Source organism: Homo sapiens, chromosome 22, assembly GCF_000001405.40.
Source record: "Homo sapiens chromosome 22, GRCh38.p14 Primary Assembly".
Taxonomy (NCBI): domain Eukaryota; kingdom Metazoa; phylum Chordata; class Mammalia; order Primates; family Hominidae; genus Homo; species Homo sapiens.
Window position 1 is genome coordinate 32,121,771 of NC_000022.11, and position 22,236 is coordinate 32,144,006.

Genomic DNA, 22,236 nt, shown 5'->3' on the forward strand with positions numbered 1-22,236 from the left:
ATTGGGCTTTATTTTCGTGTTGTGACTGGATGAGAGGAAGTCTTAGGATAACCAATCAGAACATGATAACAAAGTCCAATCAGACTAGGCCTAGAGGTTTCTCTTGTCCAATCAGAACATGTAGTCCAGGAACTTCATTTGCATCAACTCCACATATAAAGGATGCCAAGTGAGGCGGCTCCTCATTCTAGGCTCTTCAGTGTCCACTGGTGTAGCTGCTCCATTCCAGGCTTACAGGAGAAGGAGGAGGAGGCACTTGCCACGCACGCTGGAGACTCGAGCCTGCCTTGGCTCCCCTTGCTGCTGTGGTTGGTGGTGGCAAGGAAGACGACAGTGCAGCCAGGATGGTAAAAAGGTGGTGGGATAGGTTCGCTATCCCAGGAGGTACTGCCTGAGGCATGGGGGGTGGGTTGGGGTCCCTATCCAGGGCGTCACTGCCCGTGTTGAGGGGCTGGTTGGGTGTGCTATCTGGGGCATCACTGCCTGTGGAGGGGAGTGGGTTGGGGCCCTATCTGGGGTGTGCTGCCCGTGGCTGGGGGTGGGTTGGGGCACTATCCCAATCTGTACTGCTAGCGGCAGTGGGTGGTTTTGGGGGGCACTATCTGGGGATGCACTGCCTGCGGCCAGGGGGTGAGTTGGGAGAACTATCGGGTGCTGCAATGCCCTTGTTGGGCACAGGTTGGGGGCGCTATTGGGTGCTACTCTGCCTGTGGTGGGTGGGACATGTGGTATCTGGGGCATCATTGCCTGCGTCTGGGAGCTGGTTGGGGGCACTATCCATGGCTGCACAGCCTACAGCAGGGAGTGGGTTGAGCGCACAATCTGGGGCTGCAATGTTGGTGGTGGGGGACGGGTTAGGGTCACTATAGGGTGCTACACTATTGGCGGCAGGGAGGGGGGTGTTGAGGTTGCTATCGGGGGCTACACTGAGGCAGAAGTAGCGGGGTTTATTGGGAGTGCTACCAGGGACCAGAATGCCCGTGGAGAGGGGGTGGGGGGTTGGTTGGGGGTGCTACTGAGGATACACTGCCCATGGTGGGTGGAGGGGGGTGGGCTGGGTGCTATCAGAGATCTGTACTGCCTGTCAGGGAGCCAGTGAGTATGCTATCTGGGGCCACGTTGGCTCAGGGGGCGGGGGCAGGTTGGGTGCACTATTGGGGACTACACTGCCAGCGGCAGGGCGTGGGTTGGGTGCGTTATCCATGGCTGCACTGCCAGAGGCAGGGAGTGCATGGGGGGCGCTATCCTGGGCTGCTACTCCCGGTGGGAGCAGATTGGAGCGCTATCTGGGGTTGCACTGCTTGCAGTGGGGGGTAGTTTGGGTGCCATATTGGGGCGTCACTGCCAGTGGCGGTGGTCTGGTTGGGGCCGCTATTCATGGCTACACCGTCTATGGCATGGAGCGGATTGAGGTTGCTACCCTGGGCTGCAGTGCCCGTGGCTGGGGGCAAGTTGCAGGTGCCAGCAGGTGCTTCAGTGTCCGAGGCAGGGGCAGGTTGGGGGCGCTATCAGGTGCTGGTGATGGGGGGCAGGGTGTTGGGGGCGCTATCGGGGGGCTGCACTGTCACCCTGGCAGCAGGCAGCAGAGGTGTCAGTGACAGCAGTGGTCAGAGGAGCAGTCCTCCTCTCCCTGACTCAGGCTCCAGAGGGCCATCTCCTCCTGCTCGAGTTTCTGGGGGAATCCTGAGCAGGGCCCAGCCCCCAGCCCCGAGATGGTTCCCAGGCCTGCGCCCTCTTGCTACGTGTTGCAGAGACCACCTGGGACCCCCGCACATAGAGTAGCGGATACCACGGGGTGACCAGGCCCTGTGGGTGGAGGCGTCAGGAATGGGAACCGGCACTTGGGTGGGGAGGGCTGGCTGGGGTTGAGTTTCTGCTGCTCCTGCTTCCCAGGAAATGCAGCCAGGGTGGGCCCAGCAGTTCCTATGGAGTAGGAAGCCTGGACGCTGTGGTGTCTCCAGTCCCCACCCCAGGGCCCAGTCACTGGCCAGCTTGGGCCAAAAGGAGAGGCTGGACTTTAGAGGGTGGGTGTGAGTGTCTTCACTGAAACTGACACCTGCCACCCAGTGGCCAGCATGGCAAGGTGAGGCTCTAATGCTACCACTCTCTGCATCCCGTTCTAGGCTTTTCTGGCTTTGCCTGCCCAGTTGCTCCGCGCGAAGAGGAGGGACTACCTGCTGCTTGCTGGAGGCTAGAGCCTGCGACACTGTGGCTCGCCTCGCTGTGGTTGGTGGCAGCGATGGGGACTGCAGAGTGCCAAAGCGGTAGGAGAGCAGTGATGGAGACTGCAGAGCGACAGAGCGGTAGGAGGGTGGCTGGCTGCTGTCAGGGCACAGGTAGGGCTGCAGTGGTGGCCAGGTGTTAGGAGCCTCATAGGATGGGCTGGTGCATTGAGGGTAACATCAGTGGTGGTTGTATTGGCATCAGCGCTAGTGGTGGCAGCAGCAGCAAGTCTGGGGCCCAGGAAGGCAGGTGGGAGCACTGTGGGACTGGCTCGCCTGTCCCAGCCTGGCCTGGGGTGGGTAGGAAGCTGTGGGCCTCTGTGGCAGGAATGGAGGCATAGCCAGGGGAAGGAGGAGTCTTCCCCACTTCTGCAGAATCTGGAGGGTGCTATCCTCCTGCGGGTGCCTGAGCCAGGCGTGAGTGGCACCATTGTGTCATTATTAACAAAGTTTGTGGAGGTGACTATTTGTGTATCTTTTTGCTTGATTTTTGTTAGGGTAGTCTTGAACTTTTTAAAATTTCATGAATCAGGAAGGGGACAAGATGTGTAATAGGCCTCCTGATTCCTTTATCTGTTCTTTTTCTTTTTTTCTTTCTGGTTTTTCTTCTGCTTATCATCATTTTCTTGTTCCTCTTCATTTTCTTATGCTGCTGCTTCTATTTCTTGTGTCTGTTCTTGTTTCTCCTCCTCCTCCTTTTGTTTTCTTTATCATAAGCAATGGCCTTAACAAACAACAATCCAAACCTGAGTTAAAAATAGAGTACTTGTCAGCATGTTGTATTCCCCTCCACCCCTGCCCCCCAGACAGAGTCTTGCTCTATTGCCCAGGCTGGAGTGCAGTGGCACGATCTCCACTTACTGCAACTGCTGTCTCCTGGGTTCAAGCGATTCTCCTGCCTCAGCCTCCTGAGAAGCTGGGATTACAAGTGCACACCACCATGCCTGGCTAATTTTTCTATTTTTAGTAGAGACGGGATTTCACCACGTTGGCCAGGCTGGTCTCAAACTCCTGACCTCCCTCATGATCTGCCCATCTCAGCCTCTCAGAGTGCTGGGGTTACAGGGGTGAGGCACTTCACTGGCCCAGTGTATTGTATTTTAAAAATAATTGGTCCATTATTGTGATGAGGAAAAAAATTGTTGCATAATTATTTAGATACTTGAGTAGCTGTGCTTTCATGATCCTGTAAGTAGTTATTCAAGGAATGAAAAAATGAAGCACTGAATAAAATATTGGTAGCAAACAGCCAATTCATGTCTCTCACATATTAGTCTGGAGATAGTCAAGAGGCACAGGGGTAATAAGTTCCAATTTATGAGATTGTTAAGTGAACCACATTCCTTTCATTTTATTTCTCTGCCACCATTTTCAAGAGTATTGTCATTTGCATGAGCAAATTTGGTTCATCACCACATCTTTGCAACAGGAAAAGGAAGGGGAGGATCATGTGTATAATGTTTTTAGGCCAAGATTCTCTACCACAAACAAGGCTTCACTAACTTTTGCCTTTAAGAGCCTGCAGTGTTGAGCCCTATTTTATTCCTAATAATATTATCTTTGGTATGAACTTTTTTTTTTAACTGATTACTCTAGAAATTTGTGCATTTTATTGACTACTTTAAAGAAACAATCTATATTGTATCATTTTTTTCAAGCCAACAGAAACGTATGAGGTCTGTAAATTTTACACTTTTTAATTATTTTTGAGGTCATGAATATGTAAAATATTGTTGATATACGTAAAAATATGCATATGTACCACTATATAGCTTATTTTGAAGAGATGGTGTCTAAATTTTTGTCCAGAGTAGATTGGTTGCAGTTTCTTAGGTGTCTTTCTCAATATATTCCCTCAATGTTTTAAAGCATATAGAAAAAATTTGAATACCATTAACCTCATATAGTCCTTTGTTTATAGGTTAATATTTCTACAGACTAAAGGCATCACAGCCTCCTTTAAGATTCAGTAATATTAATAAAATTTGAGATATATAGGGGTAGAATCCAACAAATTCAGAGGAAAATTGTTAAATTATATAGCCGTAGATGAGGACATGAAACCCAGGTTCTGAGCTCTCAGAGGGCCATGAGCTACCATACCAAGTGCATCAGTGACTGGGCCTAGAGTTAGCAGAATTACAGGATGGTTGAGCAAGCTTTGGAGCCTAACTCTATGCGAACATGAATTTTTAAGCTGTGTGGTACCTCAGTTTATCCATCTTTACAATGGGGACAGTACTAACTTTTTCTTTTTCTTTTCAGTTGACTGAATTATTTCCCTAGTCTGTCTTGTCGCCACTCTTGATGGCCACATGAGAGGAGCTAAGGTAATTTCTGGCAGCCTGGGAGTCCTTGGGAAAAACAGAAGGTGCCACAGACTCCATTTTAGGAGGAGCCTCTGTTTTCCTCATGGACCCCCAAGAAGTGTAAGTGGACAGGTCCCTCTCAAAACCTGGGGAAGGCTCTGCTTTGTTTTGCCTTGCTTTACCTGACCTTTTGGATGTGGGTGGACATCAGAAATTAGTAGGGGAGAGAGAGCTAAAAAAATTGTGGGTAAGAAGATGTATTTATGGTAAGGAAGGTTATGAAGGAAAGAGATTTTGTGGGAGAGAGGATCTTGTATTACAAATTATTGTTCTAAAGTAGAATGACTAATTATTTAGAGAAGAGGGAAGTAGGCCAGGTGCGGTGGCTCATGCCTGTAATCCCAGCACTTTGGGAGGCCAAGGCAACTGGATCACCCTGAGGTCAGGCATTTGAGACCAGCCTGACCAACATGGAGAAACCCCATCTCTACTAAAAATACAAAATTAGCCAGGTGTGGTGGTGCATGCCTATAATCCCAGCTACTCAGGAGGCTGAGGCAGGAGAATCACTTGAACCTGGGAGGCAAAGGTTGCAGTGAGCCGATATTGCACCATTGCACGCTAGCCTGGGCAACAAGAGCGAAACTCCATCTCAAAATAAAATAAAAGATGAAAAAAGGGAAGTATAGGACAAGTCAGAAAGTCATAAGATGGGAAAGAAAAACTTAGAACTGCTCGATCTTGTCTGGAAGTGCTGTGTATGATGTTTATATAAAGGAGCTTTAATTGGCTTCAAAGAAAATGAAAGCTCCCAAATATTTCATCAGAAAAATAGAAGTTCTCATACCTTTTAGTTCATGTAACTTCAGTAATCTTTGGGAAATAAAGGCTTTTAAAAGTTATTGGTAAAATGAAAATGTTTTCAAAATTTAGACATTTGGTTTAAATTAAGTCAGAGATTGAATTCGCTAAGTGCTTTAATGTCATAAACTGCTTCTTTGACTTTGGAAAATTGTTCAGTTTACCTGGTTTGGAGCCATTAGATTTCTAGGTGAGGCCTGGGGACAGGTGGAGTTAACCATGCCTCCTAGCTATGCTAGAAAGAGTCAGACTTTATCTGCAGTTCTGTCTTGTATCCTAGACTCCGCACCTGGTATGTAATTAAAATTGCTTACACTAAAAAGAAAAATTATGTGTTTTTGACATGGGAAAATGGTTTTTTCAAAAAAAGTGAGTTTTTTCTAACTTCGAAAGTTTAAGAATTATTTTTAGTTGAAAGAATATAAAGTTTAAGCAAGTTATAGGAGGTTTATGAAACTTTGTAAAGAATTCTGTGAGCAAGTTGACTAAAATGAAAGGGTATTATTTAATTCTTCCATAAATTAAATATTAAACACAAGACGCTGAAACAGAGCCAGAATCTGGGCCCGTACATCAAAATAATAGGGTTTTTGGGAACATTGATCTGTTCTTTAACAAGAAAAAAATTATAGTTATAAATTGTTACCAAAATCTTACCTTATAGTCAAATTAATTAAAATTGGATAGATTCATAAAATTTTATTAAAAAGTAACTTTAGCATTAAAGATGCACTAATGCGAAAATAAAATTTAATTTAATGTTGAATTCTTTCTTTTGAGAAATCCAAGAACTCTCTCTTGAGGTCTGGATCGGGACCCCTTTCTGGTAACACCACCACTCCCAGCCCTCCCCTCCTTCCTAGCCTCCACTGGGAGGCGCTCTCCTGGAGGAGCAGCTGCCCCTGGCCCCCACCACATTCAGCACAGAAGGCCAGGCCTGGGCTGCTGCTCTGCCCGCACCTAGCCAGGAAATGAGTTGGATAAACACAGGAGAATTGGCCGGGGTGGGGAGGGTGTTCTGAAAATCTGCCTTGGCTCTCTGGGTCTGTGGCCAGAAGCCACAGAAATGGAGACTCAGTTCCTTCAGCAATCTGTGTTCCTACTGTGTGTCTGGCACAGAGCAAGGCCCTGGGGGTGGGGCCCTGGAGGTGTCCCGGAAAAAACGGAACACCTGTCCTCCAGGAACACCCTGTCCTCCAGGAGCTCACCCTACATCACAGAAGCCCATTTTTATGGAGGATTTACTATGCAGATTGTCTCCCTTAATTTTCACCACAACCCAGTCATCAGTGCTATTATCATCCCCATGTGAAGTACCCAAAAAACAAGGTCCAGAGAGGCGAAGGGATTTGTCCAAGGTCACACAACTCATCAGTGTTGGAGCTGAGAGCTGAAATTCTCTTTTTTGAATTGAACCATTTATTAATAGGCATTGATGTTCTTTTTTTGTTTGTTTTGTTTTGTTTTGTTTTGAGACAGAGTTTCGCTCTTGTTGCCCAGGCTGGAGTGCAGTGGCGTGATCTTGGCTCACCGCAACCTCTGCCTCCCGGATTCAAGCGATTCTCCTGCCTCAGCCTCCCAAGTAGCTGGGATTACAGGCATGTGCCACCATGCCTGGCTAATTTTGTATTTTTAGTAGAGATGGGATTTCTCCATGTTGGTCAGGCTGGTCTCGAACCTCCGACATCAGGTGATCTGCTGACCGCAGCCTCCCAAAGTGCTGGGATTACAGGTGTGAGCCACTGGTCTGGCCTAGGCATTGATCTTCTAAAGACAAAATAAACCACATTGTCTTCAAGCATGTTGAGTTTGCTGTTTATCACCACAGCCACATCAACTTTCTGTTTCATGAGTGTTTGCCTGGCATATCTGCCCAACATCTCTGTGTGTTTATACTTCTGTGTGTCTTCTATAGTTTGTCCAATCTTTATTTCTAAACTCTCCTGTGAAGTCCATTGAAATGAAGTATGAGTTTCTGGTACTATAGAAAGTTGAGCATTCCTTGGGTAGGTATTGTTTAGGTACACTGGCCTTGTTCTGTCTGCATCTTTTCTGGGTCACCCTTTGCTGAAAAGTGTCAGTCTTTGAGAGGAGGGGGGTGTCCTTTCCTGCTAGGGTGGCTTTGTGTAAGATGGAGATGCAGACACAGTGTTGTGTGACGGTGAGGGGTCACAGTGGGCTGCAGAGGTTTAAAGGCGGCCCACAGGCAGGTCCAACCAAGGTAGAGGTTACAGAAAGGACGAGCAGACGTGAGCAGGTCCCTGGGGCATTATAAATACAGTGGCCCCTTCATCTTCTCCCTTGGAAGACGAATTTGTTCCAGGATAGACCATGTCTATCCAAAGGCAGAACAGTCAGTAGTCCTAGGTGCCCCCAACTAGTCCTCAGTGCCCTCCGTGGGAGTCCAATGAAAAGAGCCTGTGGGGACAGCGCTTGCCCATCTACTCATGTGGACGAGGACTGGGTGCTTTGTGAGGAGTGAAGAAGACAGTATGGAGGAGTTCACGGAGTCCGAGGGACTGGACATTATCATATTGCATGGCTCAGAGCAGCACGCATGGACATTCAGCATCTGTAAGGGGACCATGCAGCAGAGGCTGACAGTGGAGAGTGCAGTGCACATAAAGACACGCCAGTGTTTGGTGAGAGGGACTTGATCCAGATCAGCAAAAGCGAAGTGACTGATGTGCACAGCGGTGTGCAAATGGCGACTATGGGATAGCAATGGCCGATGTCAGGCTGCTGGCAGAGAGCGCAAGACATGATGGAAACACCATTGGCCACAAGTCTACAGAGGTCTTGGCGCTGACCTGGATGCTTCCTTTGAAGCTGGTAAAGTTGTCCATTTATAACTATGATATTGGCTGCTTTTTTTTTTTTTTTTTGACAGAGTCTTGCTCTGTCGCCAGGCTGGAGTTCAGTGGCGCGATCTTGGCTCACTGCAACCTCCACCTCTCAGGTTCAGGCAATTCTCCTTCCTCAGCCTCCTGAGTAGCTGGGACTACAGGCACACACCAGTACGCCCAGCTAACTTTTGTAGTTTTAGTAGAGATGGGGTTTCACCATGTGGGCCAGGATGGTCTTGATCTCTTGACCTTGTGATCCACCTGCGTCGGCCTCCCAAAGTGCTGGGATTACAGGCATGAGCCACTGCACCCGGCCAAGCTGCTGGATGCTCTTATTACCTGCAGTTATGTCCCCACTTCCACAGATGCAAGAGAAGATCTGTTTGCCTTCTGAGAAGACTTGATATACCTCCTGAGAGGCTAACGGACATGCTCAGGCTCAGCCAGCTTGTGACACAATAAACATATCCACATTGGTGAGAGGACAAGAAGAGCCCAGTGGACACAGAGCTCTGTGGAGAAGGATACCAAGGTCAGGTCAGGATGGGGAGCCTTCCCATGGTCAATAATGTGTCTGGGGCCACCTCCTGTGCTCATGACAGTGGGGAAACAATTCTTGCTGTCTCACACATACACTGTGCACGTGGTAACACATGCACTCACTTAATCACGGCATCTACTGGGCCTGACTAAGAGGCAGCAGCCACAGCCACAACACCAGATGGCCACATGACTGTGCTTGCAGGAGCTGAGATGGTGCAGAAACCCTGTTGCCAAGACTTCTGGAGGTACAGGATTGTCTCAGCCTTGAAGAGTAGAGAAGACACAAAATGAACAGGACTGTGGCCAGAGAGTCTCCCAGCTCAAGTATGAAGCCACAAAGAAAAGGAAGAATGGGCCGGGCGTGGTGGCTCACGCCTGTAATCCCAGTACTTGGGAGGCCAAGGCAGGCAGATCACGAGGTCAGGAGATTGAGACCATCCTGGCCAACATGGTGAAACCCTGTCTCTACTCAAAATACAAAAATTAGCTGGGCGTGGTGGCATGCTCCTGTAGTCCCAGCTACTCGGGAGGCTGAGGCAGGAGAATCACTTGAACCTGGGAGTTGGAGGTTGCAGTGAGCCAAGATGGCGCCACTGCACTCCAGCCTGACACCGAGCTAGACTCCGTCTCAAAAAAAAAAAAACAAAAAAAAACAACCAAACAGCTGCCTGAGGCCGGGTGCGAGTGGCTCATGCCTGTAATTCCAGCAACTTGGGAGGCTGAGGCAGGCAGATCACCTGAGGTCAGGAATTCGAGACCAGCTACTAGAAAGGGCCCACTAAGTCCTGGCCAACATGGCGAAACCCCATCTCTACTAAAAATACAAATATTAGCTGGGTGTGGTGGTACATGCCTGTAATCACAGCTACTCGGGAGGCTGAGGCAGGAGGATTGCTTGAGTCCAGGAGGCAGAGATTGCAGTAAGCCAAGATTGAGCCACTGCATCCCAGAGTAGGCAACACAGTGAGACTCCATCTCAAAAACAACAGCAACAACAAAATAGGCTGGGTGCATTGGCTCACGTCTGTAATCCTAGAGCTTTGGGAGGCTGAGGCGGGAGGATCGCCTGAGGTCAGGATTCTGAGATGAGCCTGCCCAACATGAGGAAACCCCATCTCTACTGAAAATACAAAAATTAGCCAGGCATGGTGGTGCATGCCTGTAATCAATCCCAGCTACTTGGGAGGCTGAGGCATGAGAATCACTTGAACCCAAGAGGTAGAGGTTGCAGTGAGTTGAGATCACACCACTGCACTCCAACCTGGGCGACAGAGCAAGACTCCGTCTCAAAAAACAAACAAACAAACAAAAACACCTGCTCTAGTGGAAATGGATTGAGGGCCTGGAGCTTCACCTGGCAAGCCCCTCTTCTCCAGCCCCCATCCACTCCCAGTAGCCTCGAGGAGCTCTGCAGCAATCCCCGATCTCTGAGAAGCACAGCTGACAAGCATTGAAGTGAGCTGCTGTTGCTGGTAGACAGGCGCTGCTGTGTTAGGAAGCTGGGAATGCTTTCTATGGCTAGGCACTTGGAGCTAGGTCTTTCTTGTTTTTCTAAATGGCAGGCACACTTGTTTTTTTTTCCAATTTGCAGAGGAGTCAGCAGGATGAGTGCTTGGAGTTGGTCTCATTGCAGCTCCAGACCCTCCTCATTAGGTCATATTCCTTTCAGGATATTTGACCTCTGACCAGCCAGCATCAGTAGCCCACTGCTCCCTGGCCTGTGAGCAGCACCTCCAGCCTCTGCCCCTGCCACCCTCTCAACCAGGTGGTGGCCAACGCAGTGGCAGCGCTCTCAGAAATCGCCGAGTCTCACCCGAGCAACAACCTGCTCCATCTGAACCCACAGTTCATCAACAAGCTGCTGACAGCCCTGATTGAGTGCACCGAGTGGGGCCAGATCTTCATCCTGGACTGCCTCACCAACTATACGCCCAAGGACGACCGCGAGGCCCAGAGGTGAGCGGGCTGCCCTTTGCTTGCCAGCCCAGCCTGAGGACCCTTGTCCTCAGGGGCTCCAACCAGGCACTGGGCCTCGGGCCTTAGTGGGCCCTTTCTAGTACCTTGCCCCATAACCCACCCTCAGACACACCTAAAGGGAGGCCTGCCTGCTTCCCACCTCTCCAGAGCCAGGTAGGCAGGAGAGTTGCCTTGGGCAGCTATGGGCATACGCATGGCCTGGCCTGGGAGCTAACAGAAGCCCAGGGCACCTCTGTTGAGTTCAGTACGTGGGTGGTGCCAGAGCCACTGCTCATTGAATTCTCACTGGGTGTCTGGGGCTCTGCCGGGTGCTTTCCACACTTTAGTCTTTAATGCAACTTTCATCATCATCCCCCACTTTCCAGATGAGGGAGCTCCAGCTTAGAGAGGTGGAGGGAAATGTGCAGGTCCCCCAGCTAGGGCTCACCTGACTTATGGTCTTAACCAACAAGATACCCTCCAAGTCAGAGGAAGTGGGGAGTTGGCATCTATACAGGATGTACTACATGCCAGTACTGTGCTTGTTCTTTTTTTTTTTTTTTTTTTTTTTTGAGGCAGGATTTCTGTCCCCCAGGCTGGAGCTGCAGCCCCAACCTCCTGGGCTCAATCAATTCTCCTAGGTAGCTGGGACTACAGATGCATGCCAACATACCCACTAATTTTTATATTTTTTGTCGAGACAGGTTTTCACTGTGTCGTCCAGACTGGTCTCACCCAACCAAACTCCTGGGCTCAAGCAGTCCACCCACCTCAGCCTTGCCTGGCCTTGTTCTTTACATGCGTTATGTCAGTTAAGCCCCCAGCAACCCTGTGAAGTAGGCATCATCATCTTGATTCTATAGATGAGGAAACTGAGGCTCAGAGTGATTTCAACTTGCTGGGGGTTAGCAGGCAGCAGAACCAGGATTTAGATCTTTCTCCTACAAAAAACATGTTTGTTTTTTGTTCGTTTGAGACAGGGTCTTGCTCTGTCACCCAGGTTGGTGTGCAGTGGCACCGTCACAGCTCACTGCAGCCTCAGACTCCCAGATTCAAGTGATTCCCCTGCCTCAGCCTCCTGAGGAGCTGGGATTACAGGCATGCACCACCATACCAGGCTAATTTTTTGTATTTTATTAGAGACGAGGTTTCACTATCACTGTGTTGGCCAGGATGGTCTTGATCTCCTGACCTCGTGATCCGCCGCCTCAGCCTCCCAAAGCGCTGGGATTACAGGCATGAGCCACTGTGCCCGGCCGATCCTCAGCCTCTTAAAGTGCTGGGATTACAGGTGTGAGCTACTGCACTTGATCTCCAAGCTTCCATCTTGTTAATTCCTATCCTAATAGTCGTCCCGCACTGTTGCCTGTCCCACCTGAGGCCAGGCACCTGAAGCTGTCCTCAGCCAACAGCATAGTATGTCTTACGTGCCTCCCTCTGGTTCATTTGGAAGTTAGATACCGGGAATTATCCCCTGCCAGGGTAGGGAGGGATCACTCATGCTTGCCTCCTTTCCTTAGGGGAGATCTTTGAGCTGAAGGCAGAGCTCAATAGTGACAAGAAGGAGAAGGAGGAGGAGGCAGTGAAGAAAGTGATTGCATCAATGACCGTGGGCAAAGATGTCAGGTGTGCAGGAGTAGGCCTGGTGGCAGCTGGAAGCTGGCTGACGGGAGGGTTTATAGCTGGGGTCCACTTCAGTCTCTCCTTTAGGGTGTCTAGGGACCCATGTCTCCCCTCATACAGCTCCCTTCATAAAACTTTATTCCCAGTAGAAAATTTTGTTTACTCAGGAATCACAAGCCCAGATGCCGACAGGTCAGGTGGTGATGGAGTGAGTTAACTGGAGTAGGTGGGAAAGGCAGCAGGCGATGGAGTGGGTGTGGCATGAACTCTCTTAGAAACTCCAGAGGATCAGTACTGGCTGGGGAAGAGGACCCAGTGTGGCCAGGTCTTCTAGTTTTTAAAAAGAATGGGAAATCTGGGCCAGGCGTGGTGGCTCATGCCTGTAATCCTAGCACTTTGGGGGACGCAGGCGGGCGGATCACAAGGTCAGGAGTTCGACACCAGCCTGGCCAATATGGTGAAATCCCGTCTCCTCTAAAAATATAAAAATTAGCCAGGCGTGGTGGTGCATGCCTGTAATCTCAGCTACTCGGGAGACTGAGGCAGGAGAATTGCTTGAACCTGGGAGGTGGATGTTACAGTCAGCCGATATTGTACCTCTGCACTCCAGCCCTGGTGACAGAGCAAGACTCCGTCTCAAAAAAAAAAAAAAAGAATGGGAAATCTGGATTTTTCATTTTAAATCTCCCTAAGTGGCCAGATGATATTAAACAAACACTGTGTGGTGCAAATAAAACATATGTGCAGATTGGATTTCTCTAATTTGTCACCGGTGTGCAGCCTCTGTCGCACCCGATGGCTAAAGCAGGTCGTGCGTAGAGCGGCTGCCGCACCTTGGCTCATGCTTCCCCTGTGGGAGCGCCCCGTGACCCAGCTTGTCTTCTCATCTTTAAAAACCCATTCAAGGCCGGGCGTGGTAACTCACACCTGTAATCCTAGCACTTTGGGAGGCCGAGGAGGGTAGATCACGAGGTCAGGAGTTCAAGACCACCTGGCCAAGATGGTGAAACCCCATCTCTACTAAAAATAGAAAAATTAGCTGGGCATGGTGGCGGGCACATGTAATTTCAGCTGCTCGGGAGGCTGAGGCAGAGAATTGCTGGAACCCGGGAGGCAGAGGTTGCAGTGAGCTGAGATCATGCCACTGCACTCCAGCCTGGGCGGCAGAGCGAGACTCCCTCTCAAAAAAATAAAAAAAATTCAAGGTCCGCCTTTCCCGTGTTCCTGCCTTCCCTCATCACCCCAGCCCACTACCCCAAACTCAAAGCATTTGCTCTCTGTTCCCATCACCCAGCACTAAATGGAGATTGTTCTCCTGTTATGTGTACTTGCATTTACCTGCTCACCAGATTTTAAAATCTCAAAGGCAGAGACTGGATTTTACAACAGTTTAATATTTGCACAATATTTGAGAGTCTGCACAGAACATTTTGAGATTTGTTTTCTCAGTAGTTCCTTACAATTCCCATATTGTAGGTAATGACAGTTTTAATGCCACTGAAATAAAAACATAAAGTGACTGCCTAAGAGTCACATGGTTTATGGCAGAACTAGGACTCAAGCCCAGTTCTTCTGAAATCCAAATCCAGGCCACTTTCACCCATGCCCTCGTGGTGCCCAGCCCTGTGCCTCATAACCCGGGTGCTGAGGTGGAGCAGCTCCCATCCAGGTCCCAAGATAGGCTCCCACTGCTCCAGACGTCCCCATGGATTGCCCCCAGCAAAGGACCTCCTGCCAGCAGCTCCGGGAAGGAGCTCTGCAGAGAGCCCTTTGGAAGCCAGAGCAGAAAGGGAGCAGGCACCTGCTGGACAACTGGGCCTCCATCCAAGTCAGATTCCTTCCAGGACAAAGCTGCTCTCCTTCACCCAGAACACCACTGTCACCTCCTCACAGAGGAGAAACATCTTTGTTCTTCCATCTCAAAAGAGCTGGCTTTGCTGATATGACAGGCCCCAAAGAGCAAGTCAGCCTCATCAGCAGTTTTTCCTCCTCCCTCCTCCGCATTCTTCCTGGTGCGTCATCTTCCAAGGTGACACATACATTGTGGCTTTGGCAGGACTCCTGCCTGTTGGGACTCAGGAAGTTCACTTTGTCCTCCTAAGTCTCTATGTTGACACGCCCTTGCCTGTAAACACAAGAATTGAGAGGGGATATGATGATTCCAGAGATAGGAAATTGATCTCTAACCAAATTTCACATCTTAAGAAGGCCTGTGACTCTGGGACCACGGGTACCATGTTGAGAAGGGTTCCACCCAGTGGTCATGAGCACAGACCTTGTTCTCAGACCTGATTCCTCCAGGCAGGTTATTTGACATTTATGAACCTCAGTGTTCTCTGAAATGGGGATCATCCCCTGACTTCTGAGGGCAGTTAAATGAGATCAAGCATGTAAAGCTCTTAGCACCAAGCCTAGTGTATGGTGTGTGCTCCATGCATGCTGTGCTGGTTCTTACCGGGTGCCAGAGCTTGTGGAGAAAGCAGCGTGAGCCATCCTGCTTCCCTGCGACTCTCCAGAACCAGCAGCCTAATGTAAGGGGCCGCGTTAAGTATCAGAGAGGGAGAAAGGATCATTTTCATTTACTCAGCATCTCTCAGATATCAAGGACCAGATACCTAAGTATGTTGTCTCATTCAGTTATAAAGGCCCCGTGAAGTGAGTTTCGGTTGCACCTTTCTTTAGGACGGTCAGCTGGGTCTCTCTGCTAAACATCAAGCGCTGTGACACAGGCTCATACAAAAACTACTCCCTAGGACCCCCTATGCCCCCCTCCCCAGCCCCCACCTGCAGCTGTGGTGCAGGAAAGCTGAACCCCTGACTCCGGTGGGCATTTGCTCAGCAGGGTGTCCACAACTCTGCCTGCGCTTCTGAAGCTGAGATGAGACAGTCAGCCCCATGCATACAATGACAGGATGTCTGGAAATGCAGAGGCCCAAGGAAATTCATGTCTGGATCAGGTTTTCCCTTTGATTGTGGCCCAGGAATGGGAATGAGCTCCTGGGAGGGCGTTTGCTTCCCTAAGGAGTGAAGTGGCATGGAAGGGGACAGGGATTCTCTACGTTATAGGGTTGTGGTAACCCTGATCTCTTGGTGACCACAAAGTAAGAGCAGGGAGGCATCCTCAGGTATCCCCAATGCCCCAGAGTCTCAGCAGCCACGGGAAGGTCCAATCTGACCACAACCACAACTCCAGGGGTCTCACTTCCATCCTCTCTGGTGTTGCTTTAGCCTGTAGGCTGAAGATTAACCCCCACCCTAATCGCTTGTGCTATCTATAGATCACAGACAATGGTGTGGAGAAATACTTGCCTTGCTTACCCCCACCTAGTCATGTACCCCATGCTTGCTCAGTCTATCACGACCCTGTCACGTGGACCCCTTAGAGTTGTAAGCCCTTAAAAGGGCCAGGAACTCTTTCTTTGGGGAGCTCGGTTCTGTTCTTATGACGCAAGTCTGCTGACCTCCCGGCCTAATAAAGCCTCTTCCTTCTTTAACCCGGTGTCTGAGGAGTTTTGTCTGTGGCTCATCCTGCTACATTTCTTGGTTCCCTGACCGGGAAGTGAAGCAGCCCCTTAGGTGGCTTAGGCTTGCCCTGTGGAGCATCCCTGCAGGGGACTCTGGCCAGCTTGAGCTACGTGGATCCTGAGCATGCTCCTGGGTAGGCATTTGCCCCGGTGGAATGCCTTGTCAGAGCAGTGCATGGCAGGCCCCAGCAGAGGATCAATGCAGTGGCTGAGCACCGGGAGGGAACTGGCGCTTGGAGTCCGTATATCTGGAACATGGTAGGACTGGTCTTGGGAACTTGCCCACTCCATTTGAGTGGAAGCATGGCCTGATCACCCACAGAGTGCCTTTATCGGCACTTTGGTTTTGGTTTTGATTTTGACTTGGTTTGAATTCCTTGGCAAACGGGCGTGCCTTTGTCGGCACTTTGGTTTTGGTTTTGATTTTGACTTGGTTTGAATTACTTGACAAATGGGCGTGCCTTTATCGGCACTTTGGTTTTGGTTTCGATTTTGACTTGAATTGCTTGACAGGACCTGTCTTGGGAACTTGTCCACTCCATTTGAGTGGAAGCATGGCCTGATCACCCACAGCGTGCCTTTATCAGCACTTTGGTTTTGGTTTTGGTTTTGGTTTTGACTTGGTTTAAATTGCTTGACGAACGGGCGTGTCCTTTATCTGCACTTTGGTTTTGGTTTTGATTCTGATTTGGTGTGAATTCCTTGAACCCATTAACCCACGGGTGGCCCGAATGCATTCAGTCTGTAGCGGCAACTGCTTTGCTGACAGAAGAAAGTAGAAAAATAACTTTTAGAGGAAACCTCATTGTGAGCACACCTCACCAGTTCAGAAGTATCCTAAGTTAAAAAAAAAAAAGCAAAAAGGTAGCTTAATAACTCAAAAATCTTAAAGTATGGGGCTACTCCGTTAGAAAAAGATGATTTAACATAAACCCCTGAAAATTCCCTTAACCCAGAAGATTTCCTAACAGGGAATTTAAATCTTAATTACCATACAAAGATCCGACCAGACCTAGGAGGAACTACCTTCAGGACAGGATGATAGATAGTTCCTCCCAGGTGATTAAGGAGAAAAACCACAATGGGTATTTTGTAATTGAGGAAAACTCTTGTAGAAGTAGAGTTAGGAAAATTGCCTAATAATTGGTCTGCTCAACTTTGCCACCCAGCCAAGCCTTGAAGTACTTACAGAACCAGGAAAAAAAAAAGCCATCTATACCAATTCTAAGTTAATCTGGACTAAACAAAGTCTTATTAATAGCAAAGGATAATTGAAATCCCACACTTACAAGGTTTTCAACAAAAGTAAAGTTGTTTTGCTAAAAGTTAACAGTGTAACGTGTATGATAGTAACTTCTAATCTGTGGCCTTAGACAGTCTAGTCCACAGACCTGAAGGAAGTTTGCTTTGGAAAAGAATGGTTATCATCTTCGAAAAAAAGAAAAAAGAAAAAAAGTGGGGGTGCAGAATTTATATAAAAAGGAATGTTATATGGAAAATTCTTGTCCTGAAATAAATTAACTAGTTGTTTAAGGAAAGGGATGTTTCCAATAAGTCAGAAAGTTGAGACATGTCGAAGAATTGTCTGTGAAAATCATGAAAAAAAGTGTTAGAAAAAGAAATTTATGCAAGAAATGTTGTATAATTTAAATTAATTATCCTCCTGAATGTAAAACTGTTGAAGAAACAGTTTATGTGCAAGGTATATAAGGAAAGTAAAATATGCCTTTGGTAAAAGGATTATAAGGAAGCATAAGAATGTGGATTTTTACCTACATTAAAAGGTTACAAAAATTGTTTTGAAGGTTTAAGCAAGTTTTGAAACATTAATTGTAAAGAAAATTCTGTGTGTAAACATATTGGCTAAAGTTAAAGGGGTATCATCCAGTTTTTCTGTGAACTGGACATTAAAATAAAAACACAACAGATTTTTCTTAAAGCGCTAACCTGCTCTTTGACAAAAATTATAAAAGGTTAAAAAAGTCTATAAAAGGTCAGACATTAAAAATTGAATAAATATGTCTACAAAGTTTTATTAAAACTGTTTAACATTAATAACACTAATATAAAGGTGAAATCTAGCTTATGTGGTATAAACATACAGGAAGCATTGTCAAATATAAAATGGTGTTTGGCTTTCTTCGGTCTAAATGTTGTGCCCGAGCCAGTTAGAAAAACGCCACACTTTGAGATGAACTAAGAGTCCTTTATTAGCCGGCAACCGAGACACGGCTAACGCTCAAAATTCTCTCGGCCCCGAGGGAAGGGCTTGATTAACTTTAATATCTTGGTTTAGGAAGGGGGGGGCGTCTAGTTAAAACAATTTTACAGAAGTTAAGTAGTCAAAAAGTTAAAAGGATAAATGGTTACAGGAAAGTAAACAGTTCCAGGTGCAGGGGCTTTAAGACTATTACAAGGTGATAGACGCGGGGCTTTGGGCGTTATCAATCAGACGAATTCTTGGGGACTGCGGATATAGCTTGCCACAGTATCTTATCAGTTAATTGCATTCTTGGATGTGCTGGGGAGTCAGCTTGCACAAGTTAAGTCCTTGAGGAAGGGTCTGCCAGTGAAAGAGCCAAGATGGAGTTTGTCTGGTTCTCTTAGCTAAGGGAGAAACAAGGCCAGGTGAATAAGGAAAAAACAAGGTTGGGCATTACATAAAAACTAATAAAAATAGGTGCTAAAGGAAATTTCTCAGTAAGAAGGCACCAAGGACTATAAAGTCCACTGCTGATGTCCCCACATTTAAAATAAAAGGTCCATTTCTTAAAAATTATATACTTGATTTATCTCCCACTTTCCTTTCCCTCAAAACTAAAAGTCTTTTAGCACATGTACCACCCCGAGAATTTCCGGTAAACCAGCACCAGCCTGAAGATCATGTTCTCATCAAAGGGTGGAAAGAAGGAAAACTCGAGCTGTATAAACATGTGGCTGCTGGGCCATTGCATGGTCTCTGTTGATGAGGTTCTGAATTTTTAATTGTATATATTTAAATTTATTTAACCATGAAGAGGCACATATATGACTGAGAACCACACTAGACGGGACAGCTCCAGAGATCCAGAAATGAGGAAGACAAGACTCCCCTATCCTGGTGTTTTTTTTTTTGCAGAATCGTTTGCTGCTCTGATCCTAGCATACATTTAAGGTTACTTCCTGGGCATCTGCATAAGAGCCAGTCACTGTGTGGGGCTGGGGATATGACCATGAGGACAATATCCAGGTCCAGAGGGATTCCAGCAGGGGGCGCTCTTGCACCCAGTGGAAGAGCATGGCCCTGCACACCCTGTCTAGACAAGATCACGGCGGCAGGAGCAGAGAGGTAGGGGCAACTCGCTGTCCTCAGGAGCTCACCCTCATCTCCAGGGACCCTGAATCATAAGCTGGGCAGGCTCCAGGATGAGTGTGGGGCTCAATAGGCTGGACAGGCTGTGAAGAAAACCTTTCCACACCTGCACTAGATCCCAGCCCAGGGGTGATCTAGAACTCATCCCTGGGGTGTGTTCATTAAAACATTCATGGGGCCTAACGTGTCTTCCCCAGGACTGAGCTCTGGGATAAGAACAAATGAGGAAGAGACAGTCACTGCCCTGGCAGCAAACACCCATGGCCAGGGTTCCTCTATCCATCTGTGGGAAGACCCCAAGTTTGATACTGAAGATGTTAAACCATCTCCAAAGTAAGTGGAAACTGAGGTGTTGCGGATTCGATGACCTGGACCCTAGGGTCAGTCCCCACCCCTTTGCTGAGCTCACCCTGCACTGGAACTCGTGTCCCTCCCCACTTCCCCTGCTACTCGGGAGCGCTGCCACTGCCCTGGCCAAGAACTGGGGCGTACGTCTAGTTGAAACATATTTCTGGGCCAGACAACCATTGGCCAACAGTGTCTACTGAAGGACCGTTCCCCAGGTGACTTCCAGAAGAGGTGAAAAATGAAAACTTATCTGTCACAGCCCCAGGAAGATCAGGTCTGGGACCTCTCTGTGTCTGGCCTGACCCTGAAGTCCATCCCTACTGACTCGTGTCCTGTCTGCTCTGTGTCAGAAAAGTGGGGACCTGATTCCTGTTCTGCCCCTCTCACCAATTTCTGCTGGTGTCATTGCCATCATCACACAAAGAGATGGGGAAGACATGGTACAATAAGGAAGCTGCTTTCTCGAAGCACTTAGGATGATGTTCACAGCATACTCTCGGCAGACAGGAAGGCCAGGTCCTGCTCACTCCGACTCAGAAGGGGTCTCATATCCTGCCTGGGCCCCGGTGATGATGTTGAACTGATGCCCCTAACCTTGCAACCTTGAGCTTCTCTTCCAACAATGTCCCAATATCCTCATTTTTTTTCCTTCTGATCCTCTAAATCATGTTCCCCTTCAGGTCTAGCATGAGGCTCTCTCTCGCTCTCTCCCATGGAGCCCACTGGGCAGCTGTCCATGAATTCTAAGAACCTCAATGTTGGTAACACTGATATTTTCCTTGAATCATACATAGCAGGGCCCCTGAAGCACCATGGGGAATCTATTCTCTAGAGATGAAAGATGTCTAGGGCAATCTGGTCATGAGAAAATCACTTCTCGGGTGAACAAGTGACATTGCCAAATCAAACAGTTTCATTGTTCTGTTTTGTTCATGGAAAGATACTGACACATACAGGACAATCAAATTCTACTGAAAAGCAATGTATTTCCATAGAATGCCTGCTCCAAAAGAAACCTCAAATCATCATGTGGTCCACTTTATTCACATTCATCATGACTTAAAGCAACTACCTTGGCTTTCTGCGCGTGAAGGTTTTCAGAAGCAAACAAAAACCTATTTCAACAGTAGCATCAACAGGGCATGATGGAGATTCTCCTGTCCCAGTGTTGAGTTTGTCTTCCCCAACCTTGTGAAGCTTGACCTACCCTTTATCCTCCTAGGAAGGAAGCCAAGAGCTCAGCCTGATGCTCAGTCCCTCAAGCAAACCTGTTGTACCCTTTGCATTTTACAGGATTTCCTGAGCAGAGCACACAGAAACTATGACTAGGCTAAGTGAAGAGAGACTGAGTTTCCACATAAACATGGCATTTCCTATCTCTAGTAACATTATCTGAAGATATCTAACATTTGTTAGATGTCATTAGCTTTTTCCTTCCCAGCTTCCTACCACAACTGAGTGTCACATGTGGCTGGGCCAGGGTCTAACTTCAGAGGAACAAGCCCTGCCCCACTCTCTATGCTAAAGATGGCTTGTGGAGGATGAACTCTGAGGCCTTTCCTAGAAAAGGTGGGTGAAGGAGAGAGGTGGCAGGAGTAAAGTATACAGATGAGTCAAATGCTGTGAGGAATAGAAAGGCTAAGCAAGAGGTGACATTTCTTATTTATGTCTTAAATGAAGTTGTTACTGTGTCTTTTTGTATTAACCTATTCTTTAGGTGACTATTTCACATTGACTATGTTCCCCTAGTTGGAAAGCCAAGGCTCGGTCATCATTTCTTTCCACCCCTCTCTGCCTTCCTTCCTTCACCACCAAGGAGGATGGCTCAGCAGCAGCTCAGTCCCTGCTTGTCAACCACCGACCTCCATACACTCCAGCCCCGGTCCACATCCCCCAAGGCTCCTCGTGGGATTCCTAAGCAGCACCAGTGCACTGACTGTCACTCTACTCATTTATTGAAAGAACAGTAGGCAAAATAATTGTATTATATCTTTACTAATCCTTTGTTACAAAGACAAGTAAATAAAAAAAGCCCTTAAAATGCTGCATTTCCCTATTATTTAGAGATAGTGAGTGCTAACCCTGTGATAGTTCTCTTTCTGGTCTTCCCTTTCTTTACACTGTCTGTGCGTCCATTGAGTCGGTGGCTGTTCATGTTCCCACCAGCCCCCGGCAGTGAAACGTCCATCATGGGGGTCAGCACATGGTGAGTGCTGAGCCTCACTACTCTAGCTATGCAGGAGGTCTCCAGTGAGGGTGATGGGTGCCAGGCTAACAACAATGTTGTCCTCTGCATTCTGATGTGGCACTGGCCCTTGTCTGTCTCCTATAGATTGGAGCATTTCTGAGGCTTGAGGTGGTCATGTTATTAAATACAATACAATTATCTTCCTGATTTTCCCCTGCTTTGACCAAGTGCTGAGGAATGACCCCAGCTCTAACAGATGCTGATGTGTACTGTTCTATGTGGTATCTTACCCTTCTCCGAATCTGTGAGCTGACCAAAAGCCTGTGGGCTTTCTATGTGTGTTTCACAGTAATGCCCATGTTAACGCCTGCTGTTCCAGTATCTTTTGCTACCCTGGGTTATGTGACCACTGAGGCCCCCTTGGATGATGGGCAATGTTTGGCATGCTTTATAGGCCATTACAG

The 22,236-nt window shown here is 48.0% G+C and overlaps 2 pseudogenes across 1 annotated transcript, besides 1 other annotated feature; both read left to right on the forward strand.

Moving 5' to 3' along the window:
- The first annotated feature begins 206 nt into the window (after positions 1 to 206).
- AP1B1P1 (AP1B1 pseudogene 1) lies at positions 207 to 11,699 on the forward strand (annotated as a pseudogene). Its single transcript, NR_040114.1, has 4 exons — positions 207 to 347; positions 2,124 to 2,264; positions 10,451 to 10,737; positions 11,442 to 11,699. The product of NR_040114.1 is annotated as an AP1B1 pseudogene 1 (transcript).
- Positions 1,799 to 2,299: an enhancer, noted in NCBI's record as "H3K4me1 hESC enhancer chr22:32519556-32520056 (GRCh37/hg19 assembly coordinates)". NCBI's record gives its function as "activates a minimal SCP1, AML or CMV promoter by ChIP-STARR-seq in naive H9 embryonic stem cells {active_cell/tissue: H9 hESC(naive)}" and the evidence as "EXISTENCE:reporter gene assay evidence [ECO:0000049][PMID:30033119]".
- On the forward strand, positions 12,258 to 12,359 carry AP1B1P2 (AP1B1 pseudogene 2; annotated as a pseudogene).